This window comes from Homo sapiens, chromosome 9 (genome assembly GCF_000001405.40).
Source record: "Homo sapiens chromosome 9, GRCh38.p14 Primary Assembly".
Classification (NCBI taxonomy): domain Eukaryota; kingdom Metazoa; phylum Chordata; class Mammalia; order Primates; family Hominidae; genus Homo; species Homo sapiens.
Window position 1 is genome coordinate 39,987,677 of NC_000009.12, and position 16,720 is coordinate 40,004,396.

Consider the following 16,720-nt stretch of genomic DNA (forward strand, 5'->3'; position numbering starts at 1 on the left):
AAAGCGAATGAGAAGCAATGTTGCATCCCACGTGGTGGCAGGCAAGAGAGCTTGTGCAGGAGAACTCCCGTTTATAAACCCAGCAGATCTCGTGAAACTTATTTACTACCACAAGAACAGCATGGGATAAACCTTCCCCATGATTAAATTCTCTCTACCTGACCCCATTCTTCACATGGAATTATTACAATTCAAGGTGAGATTTGGGTGGGGATACAGCCAAATCACATCATTTGTGGAGAGCTGTGATTCTGCCTACCACAAGTAAGATGTACAAAGCATGGAAGGAGCTACAGCCAGAAACAATTATACCATTGGGAATTTCTAGCAGAATAAATAGCAGTTATTAACTGATAAGTTAATAGATTAAGTAAACCTAAATAATTGCCTTCATTAGCAGCGAGGCTTTTGATGGTCCATGTATCACAGATATTTAAACACAAATACATTTTTCTCATTTATTCCAATAACAAAGTGTTTTTTGGTTTGTTTTGTTTTGTTTTTGAAAGTTTGGTATGAGAGAGAAAGAGATGAGCTGATTTGACTACTCCAGGCTAGAGGATATGTAGCTGAGAGTCTATGGCTGAGTGGAGGAAAAAAAAAAATCACAAGCCCTGTCCAGGATAACAGAGAGAGAAAGCTGTTTCTGTTGAGATTTGATGGCCCCCATCACACCAAATTTGGGCTTCTAGCTAGCCTCAGTTCTTCAGATAACTGACCTTCCTTCTTTCCTCCCTCTTGTAATAGTCTTTGTGTATTAGAAGTACCTTGAAATGCTGGGTCAGAAAATGTGGCACGAAAGAGAAAAGCTGGCTCACTCCACATCTTGACCTGATCATTTCCTGAACATGATTGAGGTGGATGACTCTTTGCTCCTCTTTGGCTGACCTGCAGGAATAACATTGGGAATAAGCAAATCTCCTTTGGACTCCAGAGGGTGGTGGTCAGGAAGTGGGCCATTGAGAACCTAGGTGGAAATGCAGGCCAGATTATTGGAGTAGTTTGCTTTATAATGTTAAAATATTTATACACATGTTATGTGGGCCTCTATTTCCACTCTTATCTTAGAGCCCACACGTATTATGGAGGGTCTAGCAGTGTTTGTGGAGTTTTTGGTACTATACCTTTTTCAAGATAAAGTAAAAAACATTTATGGATAATTTAATTGTTCCCTATGTAGATTCCAGTGCCAAATTCCTCTCTTAGACACTGTTTCTAGTATAACATGTTAATATGTGACCCCTGTTTCACTTACAGATTTTTAGAGATCTATCCCAGGTTACTTAATTCAACTCCAAGACATACTTTTCTTTTAAATGCAGGGAATAAAGGGTCAGTTACTTAGTTACTCCGGTTTTATTTAATCCTACTGTCATCTGACAATATGGTACTGATACTATTTCCTATTTCTAGATGGTTGCTAGAAATATACTGTAATATTTATTCTTGATATATGTTTGTTACTTTAACGGGAATACATAGGCTATAAATAGTCCCCTTGCCTCTCACAAGTTAGACAGTCCTGCCCAGAATGCCCTGCTGAAGAGTTGTAGCAGATCACCCTGTTCCTCCTTAACCTCTCTGTTCCGCATATGCTCACCTGTAAAATAGTGATCATAGTAACACCCATCTTGTGATGATGTAGAGAGGTTTAAAGAAGCAAATTAGGGGAGGCCAGGCATGGTGGCTTATGCCTGTAATTCCAGCACTTTGGGAGTCCAATCACTTGAAATCAGGAGTTCGAGACCAGCCTGGCCAACATGGTGAAACCCACTTCTACTAAAGCAAACAAACAAACAAACAAAAAACACAAAAATTAACTGGGCATTGTGGCAGTTGCTTCTAATCCCAGCTACTTGGTTGGCTGAGGCAGGAGAATCCGCTGGACCCAGGAGGCGGAGGTTGCAGTGAGCCGAGGTCACACCACTGCACTCCAGCTTGGGTAACAGAGCAAGGTTTTGTCTCAAAAAAAAAAAAAAAAAAGAAAGAAACCAATTAGGGTGGAAACACTTAGAGCAGGGTGTTCATAAGTTGTCACCCTCTTGAAGCAATTGTTGGACACTATTTTAAAAATGTTTTACTTCTGAGTGAAATGTTGCATTTTATTTTACTGGAAGATTCTTATGTAGTTTAAGTACATTTTACGGTATTGTCAAAGAGCATGAGCAAAATATTTAGGAAAGATGAGACCATATTTCTTTTATTTATGACATTGCCACAAAAAATCAGGTAGATGAATTTGTATTAAGTTTTTGTACCAATTTCATATCTAAAATTTCAAAGAATTTTATTGCAACAAACTCTTTCTTACCATTAACTCAAAAAAATTCTGTTTTAAATTGACTTCATTCCATAAGTCTCTACACTACTAATTTGGCCAGAAGTTATTTTCAATCCTAATTGGGAACAACAAAGATCCACATGATATCCTTTCAATTTATGATGTTGAAGAAAGTTGAATTGTAATAATTTGAGTGTGCAGTCAAAGCAATTTTCAATACTATGTATCACTGTAGAAACAAGGGAGAATGTCTTGGTTAACTATTTAAGTGGCTTGAGTATGGCAATTAAAATTTCATCTAAGCTCATTTTGATGAATCTTGAAGGTGACATTTATTTCTTATGCTCTGAACATCGTAAGTTCTGTTGATTTTTATGGGAAGTTTTCAAGGTCATTTTCAGAGATCTATGACAAAATGACATTATTTGAGAAAAAAAAGAAGAAATAGCTCGAAGTTTAAAGCATTATGGTATTCCCTAAGCCCAAAATTTTCTCCCTTTACAAAAACAAATGAAAGGCAAAATAGACAAACAAAGAAACCATCAAAAATACCTTGAATCACTGTTGGTGGGAATGAAAATTAGTTCGACCATTGTGGAAGACAGTGTGGAGATTCCTCATGGATCTAGAATCAGAAATCCCATGACCCAGTAGTCACATTACTTGGTATATACCCAAAGGAATATAAATCATTCTATTATGAAGACACATGCACACATATGTTTATTGCAGCAGCTATACTACTTATTATAGCAAAGACATGGAACCAACCCAAATGCCCATCAGTGATAGACTAGATAAAGAAAATGTGGTACATATACACCATGGAATACTATGCAGCCATCTAAAGAACTAGATCATATCCTTTGTAGGAACATGGAAACCACCATCCTCATCAAACTAACACAGGAACAGAAACCCAAACACCTCATGTTCTCACTCATAAGTGAGAGTTGATCAACGAGAACACATTGACACAGGGAGGGGAACAACACACAGTGGGGCCTGTTGGGGCGTGGGGGGAAAGGGGAGGGAGAGCATCAGGACTGATATCTAATGCATGCAGCTTAAAACCTAGATGATGGTTTGATAGGGGCAGCAAACCACCATGGCACATGTATACCTATGTAACAAACCTGCAAATTCTGCATATGTATCCCAGAAATTAAAGTAAAATAAAATAAAATAATAAAAACAACAACAAAATGTACCTTGAATCTCCAAAATAAGTTAAGACAAATAGTTAAAATTGAGCATGCTTTTATTAGAAGAAGAAAATGTCATTGACAATATAACAGATAATTTATAGATGGGAACATACGTAAAAACGTATAAGTACTTAGATCTGCTAGATAAAGTGAGTCCCAAATGATAAGGTTACAAAAATAATGTTTTTTTGTAGAATATGTGTTTTCAATGAGAAAGTGTTGCAAAAGTCAGTCATACAGATTGGTAACTTTTATGTTTATTTTTCAAAAGCAGCTCAAAATAGTTCTTTAGATTCTGTAACACCACGGTGTCCTAATTTTGCTCCTAAAATTTTGTCACAAAAGTTTAAATTCACTTGCAAATTGATCTTCATTTAATCTTCCTCTAGGTGTGTAAGCTAAATCAGAGATCTGCATGAACTGCTTATTACTCTTTCATGCTATACATTCTCCCTAGGTAATTTTGATCACTGCAATCTTTTCCATCATCATTTCTACTTGAAGACTAACTAATATAGGTAGAACAAATTTCAACTTCTAGACCTATATGCTTTCCAGATATCTCAAATAAAAGATAAAATTTGGGGAGATATACCATGTTCATGATTTTGAAATAGTCAAGACTGTGTGATATTGTCCTCAAGAAAGACTAAATAGATCAACAGAACAGAATAGAAAATACAAAAACAGATTTATACATATAGTTAAAATCTTTTTTTTTAAATAGCAAGTCAATTCATCAGGGAAAGTATCAGCTTTGAAGAAATGGAAGAGTTTTCAAAGCAAGAAATGTAAAACAGTTGGGTATTTATAAGCAATAGAAAAACAAATTTGATTCATAGCTTGCAAAATATATAAACATTAATAAAAAGCCAACCTGAATGTATTGAAATCTTAGATATAAACATAAGATAAATCTTTGTGACCTTAGTTGAAACAAATAAGTGCTGTATATGACATTAAACATTTAATATGTAAAATAAAATATTAACTTGAACTTCTTCAAAAGTGAAAATTTTTACTCTTTTTAAAAAATTATTATACTTTAAGTTCAGAATGTGCAGAATGTGTAGGTTTGTTACATAGGTATATACATGCCATGGTGGTTTGCTGCACCCTTCAACCCATCATCTATTTTAGGTATTTCTCCTAATGCTATCCCTCCCCAAGCCCCCCACCCCCTGACAGGCCCCAGTGTGTGATGTTCCCTTCCCTGTGTCCATGTGTTCTAATTTTTCAGCTCCCAATTATGAGTGAGAACATGCGGTGTTTGGTTTTCTGTTCCTGTGTTAGTTTGCTGAGAATGATCGTTTCCAGCTTTATCCATGTCCCTGCAAAGGACATGAACTCATCCTTTTTTATGGCTGCATAGTGTTCCATAGTGTATATGTGCCACATTTGCTTTATCCAGTCTATGATTGATGGGCATTTGTGTTGGTTCCAAGTCTTTGCTATTGTGAACAGTGCTGCAATAAACCTACGTGTGCATGTGTCTTTATACTAGAATGATTCATAATCCTTTTTCTATTTAGTAATGGGATTGCTGGGTCAAACGGTATTTCTAGTTCTAGATCCTTGAAGAATCACCACACTGTCTTCCACAATGGTTGAACTAATTTACACTTTCACCAACAGTGTAAAAGTGTTCCTATTTCTCCACATCCTCTCCAGCATCTGTTGTTTTCTGACTTTTTAATGATCACCATTCTAACCAGAGTGAGATGGTATCTCATTGTGGTTTTGATTTGCATTTCCCTAATGACGAATGATGATGAGCTTTTTTTTCACATGTTTTTTGGCCGCATAAATGTCTTCTTTTGAGAAGTGTCTGTTCATATCCTTTGACCACTTTTCGATGGGGTTGTTTGTATTTTTTCTTGCAAATTTGTTTAAGTTCTTTGTAGATTCTGGATATTAGCCCTTTGTCAGATGGATAGATTGCAAAAATTTTCTCCCATTCTGTAGGTTGCCTGTTCACTCTGATGATAGTTTATTTTGCTGTGCAGAAGCTCTTTAATTTAATTAGATCCCATTCATCAATTTTGGCTTTTGTTGCCAATGCATTTGATGTTGTAGTCATGAAGTTTTTGTCCATGCCTATGTCCTGAATGGTATTGCCTAGGTGTTCTGCTAAGGTTTTTATAGTTTTAGGTCTTATGTTTAAGGCTTCAATCCATCTTGGGTGAATTTTTGTATAAGATGTAAGGAAGGGATCCAGTTTCAGTTTTCCACTACCCAGTTTTCCCAATACCATTTATTAAATAGGGAATCCTTTCCCCATTGCTTGTTTTTGTCAGGTTTGTCAAAGATCAGATGGCTGTAGATGTGTGGCTTTATTTCTTAGGCCTCTGTTCTGTTCTGTTGGTCTACATAACTGTTTTGGTACCAGTACCATGCTGTTTTGGTTACTGTAGCCTTGCAGTATATTTTAAAGTCAGGTCGCATGATACTTCCAGCTTTGTTCTTTTTGCTTAGGATTGTCTTGGCTATACAACCTCTTTTTTGGTTTTGTATGAAATTTAAAGTAGGTTTTTCTAATTCTGTGAAGAAAGTCAATGGTAGTTTGATGGGGATAGCATTGAATTTATAAATTACTTCAGCAGTATGGACATTTTCATATTGATTCTTCCTATCCATGAGCATGGAATAGTTTGCCATTTGTTTGTGTCCTCTCCTATTTCCTTGAACAGTGGTTTGTAGTTCTCCTTGAGGAGATCCTTCACATCCCTTGTAAGTTGTTTTCCTAGGTATTTTATTCTCTTTGTAGCAATTGTGAATAGGAGTTCACTCATGATTTGGCTCTCTGTTTGTCTGTTGTTGTTGTATAGGAATGCTTGTTATTTTTGCACATTGATTTTGAATCCTGAGATTTTGCTGAAGTTGCTTATCAGCTTAAGGAGATAAGCTGAGACGATGGGGTTTTCTAAATATACAATCTTGTCATCTGCAAACAGAGACAATTTGACTTCCTCTCTTCCTGTTTGAATACGCTTTATTGCTTTCTCTTGCCTGATTGCCTTGGCTAGAACTTTCAATACTATGCTTAATAGGAATGGAAAAGGGCATTTAAAAATAATTTTTTAAAAACTATGAACTGAGAAAACATTTGAATAGCATATATCTTATTGGCCAAGAAAGGTTTATCTCATCAGGACTAATGTTTGTCTTTAGAACTGGCACTTGGCTGGCTTTTGGAAGATAACCTGTGGGCCCTTAATATATTCTGCCTGTTGACAGTGTTTCTATACATCTTTGGCTTTAGAGTACAGTGCACAAGTGGTTTTCAGCGTCTGAGGCCTTGGACCATGCTGTGCTCATTTGAACAGATAAGCTTATCCTAACAATATAATTTAGAGTCAATGGCTATATTTTCTCTGACAGATGCTGTAGTCTGAGTAGCTGAAATCACTCATATAGGCACCACCTTACATGACTGATGCCCAGTAAAAGCCCTGGAGACCAAAACTTAAATGAGCTTCTCTGATTGACAACACTTCAATATGCTGTCAAATATTGTTGCTGGGAGAATTACGTGTGTTCTTATGGGATTCCACTGGGAGAGGACACCTGAAAGCTTGTACCTGATATCTTCTACATTTCTCCCCATGGGCTTTTTTTCTTTGTTGATTTTAATCTGTATCTTTTCATTGTAGTAAACTGTAACTATGAATGTAATGTGTTTTCTAAGACCTGTGAATCATTATAGTTAATCTTTGAGCCTAAGGGTGGTCATAAGGAGCCCCAACACACTAATAAATTACTTTCATAAAGAATATATAAAAGCTGTCAAAAATCAAAAATAAAACAAATCACCCAATTTTTTAAAAGGCAAAAGATTGAAAAAGACGTCATGATAGAAGACATGGATGACAAATAAGTATATCAAAAAATTTTAACATCTGTAGTCATTAAAGAATTGAAAACCACAAAGAAATACTACTGATAGTTATTACAATGTCCAAAGTGAAAAAAAATATTGACCCTACCAGGTATATGCAACAAAATGGAGGAACTGAAACGTTAATATACTTTTGATTGACAACCACTTTGTAAAATAGATAGATTGACAGCTTCTTAAAAAAGTAAACCTATGCTTACCACTTAATCTAGTCATTTATCTTCTAGATATTTCCCCCTCGAAAAATGAAAAAGAAATTGTTGTATATAAATATTCATAGGCATTTTCTCTTTAATAGCTAAAATGTGGTCATGACCCACATATTCATTAACAAGTAATTGGTGATATATACGTACAGCAAAATTCTGCTCAGCAATGAAAAGGTTCGACTACTGACACATGCAACAACATGAATGAATTTCAAAAGAATTTTGCTGTAAAGCAAAAATGCCAGCCAAAAAATAGTGCACCTTATATGATTCCATTTATATAAAACTTCTGGATGCACCAATATACAATATACAGTAATATACAATACTGAAAGATGGTCAGCAGTTGTCTAGCTAAGATGCTTATTAGGAGAGACAATAATTGCAAAAGGGGATTATTAAAAGTAGTCATGAGGAAACATTTTGTGGATTTATATGTTCACTATCTTGACAATAATGATGATCTCACGGATGTATAAATATGTCAGAGCATATCTAATAATTTATCTTACATATTTTTGGCTTTTAATATGTTAATTATAGCTCAATAAATTTCTTAAAAACTCATTGGACTCTATCTGTAATGTGTGTATGTTTAGTTTTAAGTAGAGTGCAGCTAAATTTTTCTCCACCATTACAATTTTCAAACATACTTTCACTTACAGAATAGCATACTGAAAATTAACACATGCTTTTATAATTATAAATAAAATAGTAATATATCATTTCTGCTGAAATAAATGCAAACCAATTACAAGGAATTTATTAGTTTTTATTTTAGTTACTTCATATATATTAGCATCTAAGCCTCAAAGATTCACTATGTAATTGTGTAAATTAGTAGTAGGGTTACCTGAATCTGGCTTAATAGTGAATTAATCAGTATTTATCTTTAAACATTTTTTCCTTTATGAATTGTGTCACACTTTTAAAGAGCCCTTCCTACATTACAAGCATGTATAAAATATATTCTTATACTATTTTAGAATAATTTCAGAAGTTAGATTGTTTTCTAGATTTAGTGTTTTCATTGATACCAAATTTATTTTTATGTACATAAATGTATGATTTTAAGTTAGATTATTTCAAACTGGTATCCCTGCAATTATCTGAACAAAAATTTTTTTTTTTTTTTTTTTTTTTTTTTTGAGACGGAGTCTCGCTCTGTCGCCCAGGCCAGACTGCGGACTGCAGTGGCGCAATCTCGGCTCACTGCAAGCTCCGCTTCCCAGGTTCACGCCATTCTCCTGCCTCAGCCTCCCGAGTAGCTGGGACTACAGGCGCCCGCCACTGCGCCCGGCTAATTTTTTGTATATTTAGTAGAGACGGGGTTTCACCTTGTTAGCCAGGATGGTCTCGATCTCCTGACCTCATGATCCACCCGCCTCGGCCTCCCAAAGTGCTGGGATTACAGGCGTGAGCGACCGCGCCCGGCCCAACAAAATTTTTAAGTAGTCACATTGACTTTTTTTTCAAAAGTTAGTTTTAAGCTATTTGATAACATATGGATCTACTTCACTAAAGTTGTATTTTTGTGTGTAATTCTTTAATCCATCTGGAGATATTTTGGTTGTTTTTCGATCAGATAGCCAGTTAAACCAGAAAGAAAAATCTTACCAAAAAGTTTCCACTTAGAAAATTTAATAGCCAAAAAAACTAATATATGCAAGAATGAACAAAAACATATTGATAAAAGTTATACATCATATTTTTATTGAAATATTTCATAATGAAATGTTTCACATGGTTAAAGAACTACAAATTCATCCAGTGTAAATAAAAACTTCATGGGAAATGTATAATATATGAGGGATTATTTGATATCTGAAAAAACTAGATAGAAAATAAATGCTTAAAAACTTCTAGAAGGTAATCCAGTAGAGTATTTATCAGCTTAGGCTAACAAATGATATAAACATGATTAAAGAAGAGCTAAACTTGAATAAAAATATTAAGTTGATGACAAGTGTAAAACACCATTCTTCAAAATATGCAATTACAAATAGGAAAGTGCTAATAGGAGAAAAAATAAGATGTTTATAATGCAAAAAGTATTAACATTCAAAACTGTTGATAATATAAAGAAAGATATTATAAGGAAAAGTATTCCAGTATTAGAGTAGCCTAAGTATAAGGCAATTTGAAGAAAGAAAAGAGGAATCATGAATAGGTTTATCAATCCTGATTCCATCTCACCAGTGATTAGACTGGTAAATAAGAAAATGTGTGATAATACCAAGGGTAATAAAGATATATTTCATTTACATTTACAGTGCTGGTAAACATACACTGTACAACCACTTTGGAGAAAACTTGGAAGTACCTAAAATGTGAAAATGCACAGTTGCTCTTGATCCAGCAAGGGTACCTCTGAGTATATATTGTGGAAAAATTCTCACACATGCATACACAGTGAAACATGTAAGAGTGCTTATAGCAGCAGTGTTGGGATTTTCTTTAAACCCTAGATTTGACCTATATATCTATCAGTAGAGAATCAAAATATAATTCAAGCTATTGTTATACAGTGGGATATAGTACATCACTGATAATTAATACAAATTAATATTACGAACCACTCAAGTTTGAATCAAATATTAGGTCATGGTATAATGAAATTATAAAACTATTTAGAGTTAAAAACAGGCAAAAATGTCACATTTATTTTAGAATTCATAATTGAATAGTAGAAGAAAGTAAAAATGCATAGGAATCATCAACATGAAACACAGGAAAAATAAATGAAACATAGGCAGGTGATTATCTGCAGAGCAAGAAAGTAGAGTTTATTAAGGAGGGCAGTATGAGAACTATCTAAGATATTTTAGGATAAGAAGCGGTTTTGTGAATTTGAATTCATTAAATAACGCTTTCTATTTTGTTTTGTTATTCATCATTTAACATTTTTTTAAAAAATATAAAGAATTCTCATAAGTATTTTTAAACTAGAAGACAAATAAGTGGAATGAAACATCTAAATGTCAAATTTTGGTGTGTACTTCCTATTAATTTCTAAGCAGGGACACCTGGCAAGCAGAAATAACTCTGAGGACATGTGGGATTTTGAATTTTTGGACACCTCTGTAAAGTTATTTGGCAAGCAATAATAATAGCTACCACTTATTTATCAAGTGTTTACTAATGTACTAAGCATTGCCATATATGGTTTATTACTTCTATCCTATTTAGTATTCAAATCAATATGATGTCTATTTTTGTTCTGTTTTAAAAATAAAGAAGCTAACATGTCCAAGCCACATATTTAGTAAGTATTGGAACTACATCAAAACAAGAAAGAAACATTTCAATGGTTTATCCTACTGTCTACTTCCTAAAGGAAAATTATAAATTTACAGTAACTGATCCAAATACATTTCCAGAGTTACTTTAGCTTTCACAGTGTTGGCCAGCACAATGTGTTTTTTGTTTGTTTGTTTGCTTGCTTCCTTGTTTTTTAATTGAGAACATTCCCATAGTTGACTATTTCAATATTTAATTCTCCAATCTTGTATTTTTGGTTTATCTTGATAAACATCAAATAAGGTGGAGGCAGTTTACACTGAATAGACTTAAGAAGCTGATCTTCACAAGAAAGTTCAGATGCTTCATTTTACCACAATTTCTCCACTGCTTAGTTTTATTACACCTAGTCCATATCATGCATTTGGGTTACTTGCCTGGCTCATCTATGACAGAAAAGAAGGAAAGGAGAAAGGAAGCAAAAGAGAATAAAGAACCTAAATAAATGCTATTCATCTATTCAGAGCTGTTTCAAAAAATTAAGTGAATGTTTTCTTCAGTATTCTCAGTCAAATCTTGCTTCATACTTATTATAAATACCCTGAAGGAGTCATACCAATGTGTTCTCTGTAAATGCCATGAACAACACTTTGTTTTTGTATAACGGTTTTCATGACTATTGTATTAATAGCACATTCAATAATATTTCAATAGGTCAAAATTATGTCATATGTTTTCTTACAAATTTTTGTCATTTTTTAGAATTAATGCTACAGCCCAGAAAATAAATATTATTATGAAAGCTTGTTTGTAAAAAATTTCAGTAATTTTATATCTTTTTGGTAAGATTAGTGGCTTCTATTGTATATATTTACAATGGATATCAATGTTGATATTGAGTTATCCAATCTAATATTCTTAATAGCTCCAGCTTGAACTATGAATGGTAGATGACTATGTTCTGTACGTATACCAATATGAGTATTTTTCTATGTTAAAGATTTTACTAGAATCCTTAAATAAACCATAATCATCTAATATGATTTTCTGCTGGAATTTATATAATTTATTATCATAAAAATATATTGAATTGCTCAGATAAAAATTTTAACTTCTATAAATCTTAATATATAAAAATATGGTCTTCTTCAACAAATTGACATTGCAAATTGGTTTAGAATATCCTTAAATAATTATAGTTTTATTTTCAAATAAGCTACTTTTGCAAATTGTTATCATTTTTAACTTAACTTTTGTGTTTTGTTTTTTGTTTGTATTTATGTCTTCCCCAAATGTCCTCTTTTTTTATGCAAATGTAGAGAAGGCAGACACCTAGAATTCCATCCTAGAATTAAGACGTGACAATAAACTTTGATTTTGTGAGTGCATTGTACGCTGACCTAATAGAAGATGAAAAGTGGAAAAATTTGCACAATGAGTTCAAGAACTCTGAGGAAAAGTATTCAAACAGTCTAGTTAAGAAAACCTTATTAAGTGGAAATTTCATACCAAACAAGGCTGCACAGCTTGGAAAAGCCCTGCACTTAAAATTAACTTCAGCCGGTGATGTGCTGAGGCTCTTGACTCAAGTACAGGCACACGGGCTGGCTATGATTTGGAGAAACATGGTAAGTCATATGAATGTTAGTTGATAACTAATTTTATTGTTCATGTGCGGAGGACATAGGGTCAAATGTGCCCCAAGAAGACCTCGAGAAAATATATGTGGCTCTGGATACAGACCTCATGTGACAAAAGGAAGCAATAACCAGGAAAGACTGATTCTCTCTGCTTATCATTTAGAACAATCAAAATAAGTTTGAAATGAAAAAAACTCCAGGGGTTTTGAAATTATTAAACTGGCATGTACATACTAAAAGGGAGCCAATAAGGAATTTACTACTAATAGGGCATGGGGGAAAGCAGATCCAAAGTTCTAATTAATGTTTTAAAATGATGGTATCCATTTGCCAGTTTTAAGATAAGTCCATACTGCTGAAAATTGCTCTATGTTTCTTACCACATTTATCTATGTCAGCATTTATTTTACTTCTAAATTTAATTACAATTTTTAAATTCCATTATACAAGTTATCTCACATTTAACTATTTGTTACCTTTCCTTCTCATCTTACAATATTACTTCTCTACCTGTCAAACTATATACAGTCCAGTTCCTATTCCAATTATGGCTATAATTGCAGTACAATTAATCAATTAATTAACAAAGCATAGCAAAAAATCAAAAGAACTTTAAAAAATTATGTATAATTGTGATCAATGTGGATGTTTTTAAATATGTTCAACTATTTATACTATTTTCCTTCTCAAAGAATCATCAGAATGCTGAACACATAAAATAAACATTGGATAAATTAAAAATAATTTTTCATTCTAAACAATCTAAAGTAATTTAAGTATAGTTCCTATTTAGACTTAACCATAACACTTTGAAAAACTTGAAAGAATTCACTGATTTTTTATAAAATTTAAAATTAATACATATTACACAATTTGTAATATAGATTTTTACTTTGAACATGAGGGCATTTTAAATGGAGCTTCTTTAAAATATAATTCACATATAAAAATTTCAGAAAATTTTAAGGACCTTTTTCTTTTTACTAATGCTTTGATTAGGATTTCAGTCTGCATACAAATTTGTCAAGATTTTAGCTGATACTCTTTCAGGAAACTATTTTAATAGATCATTACCTTTCCTTATCTCTCAATGTCATTAGATATGTACATTTTAATCTTAATTTCTAGGACAAATATACATATCTTTTTCTGATTATGTGCCTCTAAGTTTGATAAAAAGTTCTTGATGCAACCAGTGGACTCAACACTTCTCCTTACTTTGCATTTATAATAATAGGCTTATAGCAGTTTTTTTCTCCAAATTAAAGTATAAATATTTAATTTTTACTTTTAATTTTTAAATGTTACTCAATAGTATGTTTATAAAATGACTTCTGGAAAAACATGTCTATTTTCTATCATTTATTATGTCATAATTGAGAGAAGCAAGGACCCAAATTCATTTAATTATAACACATAAAACTGAATAAATATAGATGACAGATATGTGTTCTTTGTTTTTACATATCTGTTGTAAACCATATTACTCAGATTATCTCACTTCTTTCAACTTTTCTAATAAAAGCAATTACCATACCTATGTGGAATGTATTTTAATAGTAATTCATTTTAATAAAAGTTATATATTTTTAGGAGGTCAAAATAGCAATTTCAATTTATGAAATGTTGACTTTTTAATCTTATTGACATATTTTCTGGAGGCAAATTGTAGAACTATTTGAATAGCAACAGAAATTTCCAGTGGAGAGACAGTCAGATACGAAACTTCCGTGAGAAAACTGTATTTATCAGTGACTGAAAATCCTTGGATTAGGACCTAACTCCCACCTACTTGTTCTTGTAGATACTCTGTCTAAATACAGATATAGATAGATACAGATACAGATACAGATACAGATATAGACATAGATACAAGTACAGTTACATAGAAAAATAATATTATAAGATATCCTGAAATATATATAATATGTTAGTTTCTAACATTGTTTTAAAAGTTAGTTGTTTAACCAATCAAAGCAGAAACAACTTAAACAGACTTTACAAAAATTCATCAGATTTAATAAAGTTGTCTATTCGAAGATAGGGACTTCTTTCTTTTTTAAAAATTAAATGAGAAAGCAACTATTGGCAAATTCAAATTCCTTTCTTATCAAAACACGTATTTTGAATTTTTATTGTTTAAAACAATATAGAATTTGAATTAATAGCTATCTTAGTAAGGAAATATCTTTCCTCAAGACTGCAATGTGCTATCTTGCATACAAAATTACCAAATAAACACAGTGACTGCTGATAAATTTTTACCTAATTATTTAATATGGTTCCCTTGAAAAATGAATGATTAAATGAATTAAACAACAGTTAAACAATTAGATTCAGTATGAATATTATGTGCATACTGTACATACTTTTGTATTTTCAAGGTCAATCATTGCATAGAAAGAAATTAATTTTTTTAAGAAGTTAAAAATATAGTACTTAATCTTGAATAAATTTGTTAATAACTAGGGCACATTAAAATATGCCTCAAACGTAGTAAAATTACATTTTAACATTTATACAAGAGGTTGTCTAGAATATCACAAAAGAAAAATAACCTAAAAATAAAAACTTTCCCAAAACAAAGACTCAAAAGCAGCCCAAAACTGTTACAACAATAAAAATAATGCCACAATATTTGTTTCTATTTTAATTGAAAAAAGGAAAAGCAGATTTAGTTATTACTCTAAATAGATACTTTATTGTTGATTTTTCTAGATTTAATAGATTCAATAGTTTGAACTTAAAACCGTATTTCTCAATTTTACTCTAATTTTCTAACCTCAAACTTAAAACACATCATTTCCCTCTTTATTTTCCCACCAACCACACACACTAGCCATGTCATTCTATTTGTATTTACCTCATTCTTTTTCACATACTCTTTGTGTGTGATTCTGCTTTACCATCTTTTAGAATATCTTTTCTCAATTTTTCACCTATATCAAATATTGTTTTAATATATAGCATATTAATAGAAAAGCTAAGGTATAGTAAGGCAAACAGATCGGAAGACAATTGCCATTGAAAAGATACTCACAATTTCCAAGAGAAGGGAGCATGTCACGCCAGGGGAGACTACAGGGAAGAACTCAGGTCCATCAGGAAACAGAGAGAGGGAGGAATTCACGAGCAAGACCCTAGACTGTGGTGTTTGCAGGAAGAAACCAAGCAGGGTAAACAAGCTTAGGACCGGCTCGTTTGAATAATTTCAGTGGGCTCTGGGGCATAAGAGCTGTCCCTGGTTCTCTGGTTTTTGGCCCTAGCGTGATTAGGACAGAAGCACAGTGGCCTGGAGTGTGACAGCCCTATAGAGTATTTGTTTGGGAATTGGTTAGTTTGTATTTGTAAAGCCCATCTTCGTGAGGAGTTCAGGGGAGACTTCGTAGCCAGAAGCTGAGGCAAGGTGACTCCAGCATACTATCCATCTTCAAGAACAAGATGTGTCTGAATTGCTGTATGTTATAAAGTTTCGATGTCTAATAGAGCAAATCTTTCATCCTGTTGGTTCTCTTTGATTTAATTTGCTTTTTTTTCTCTCTAAGTACTGTTCTCGGAATAAGCCAATCTGATATGTGTGTCACTATTCCAATGAATGAGTAGATCACACTTTATTTTTCTGCTTCTTGTGAACATTAATTAGTTCAGTTTTCTGAAATTTTCAATGCTATTGTGATTTTTTAAAATTAACAATGCTACTTTGCTTATTGTGTACTTGTCACCAGAAATGCAAGAGCTAAGATGTCTCTGGAAATGGAATTCCTGGGTCACAGGGTTGGCACATGATCAACATTATTAGATAATGTTAAATTGTTGTACAATGTAATCACATTAATTTGTATGCCAATAGTAGTATATAAAAGTTTGAATTGCCCTACATCCAAACTCACACAAAAATAAATGCAGTCTAAAAAAAAAATTATAATGTGATGTATATGAAATTATATTTTGGGCTGGGCACAGTGGTTCGTGCCTGTAATCCCAACACTTTGGGAGGCCAAGGTGGGCGGATCAACAGAGGTGAGGAGTTCAAGACCAGCCTGGCCAACATGGGGAAACCCCGTCTCTACTAAAAATACAAAAATTAGCTGGGCCTGGTGGTGCGTGCCTGTAATCCCAGCTACTTGAGAGGCTGAGGCAGGAGAATAGCTTGAATCCAGGAGGTGGATGTTGCAATGAGCTGAGATCATGCCACTGCACTCCAGCCTGAGTGACAGAGTGAGACTCCCTCTCAAAAAAAAAAA

At 33.1% G+C, this 16,720-nt stretch overlaps 1 long non-coding RNA gene across 3 annotated transcripts in view; it reads left to right on the plus strand.

Moving 5' to 3' along the window:
- The window catches only part of LOC105376050 (uncharacterized), a 108,520-nt gene extending 92,091 nt beyond the window's left edge, over positions 1-16,429 (plus strand). For 2 of the 3 annotated variants that reach the window (XR_929618.4, XR_007061494.1), the window contains exon 4: positions 6,871-7,754. This is a non-coding gene — a long non-coding RNA (uncharacterized LOC105376050). Of the gene's footprint in view, positions 1-6,870; positions 7,755-12,155 lie in introns of those variants that run through there. The other variant, XR_929617.4, reaches the window with a different exon arrangement.
- The last annotated feature ends 291 nt before the right edge of the window (positions 16,430-16,720 follow it).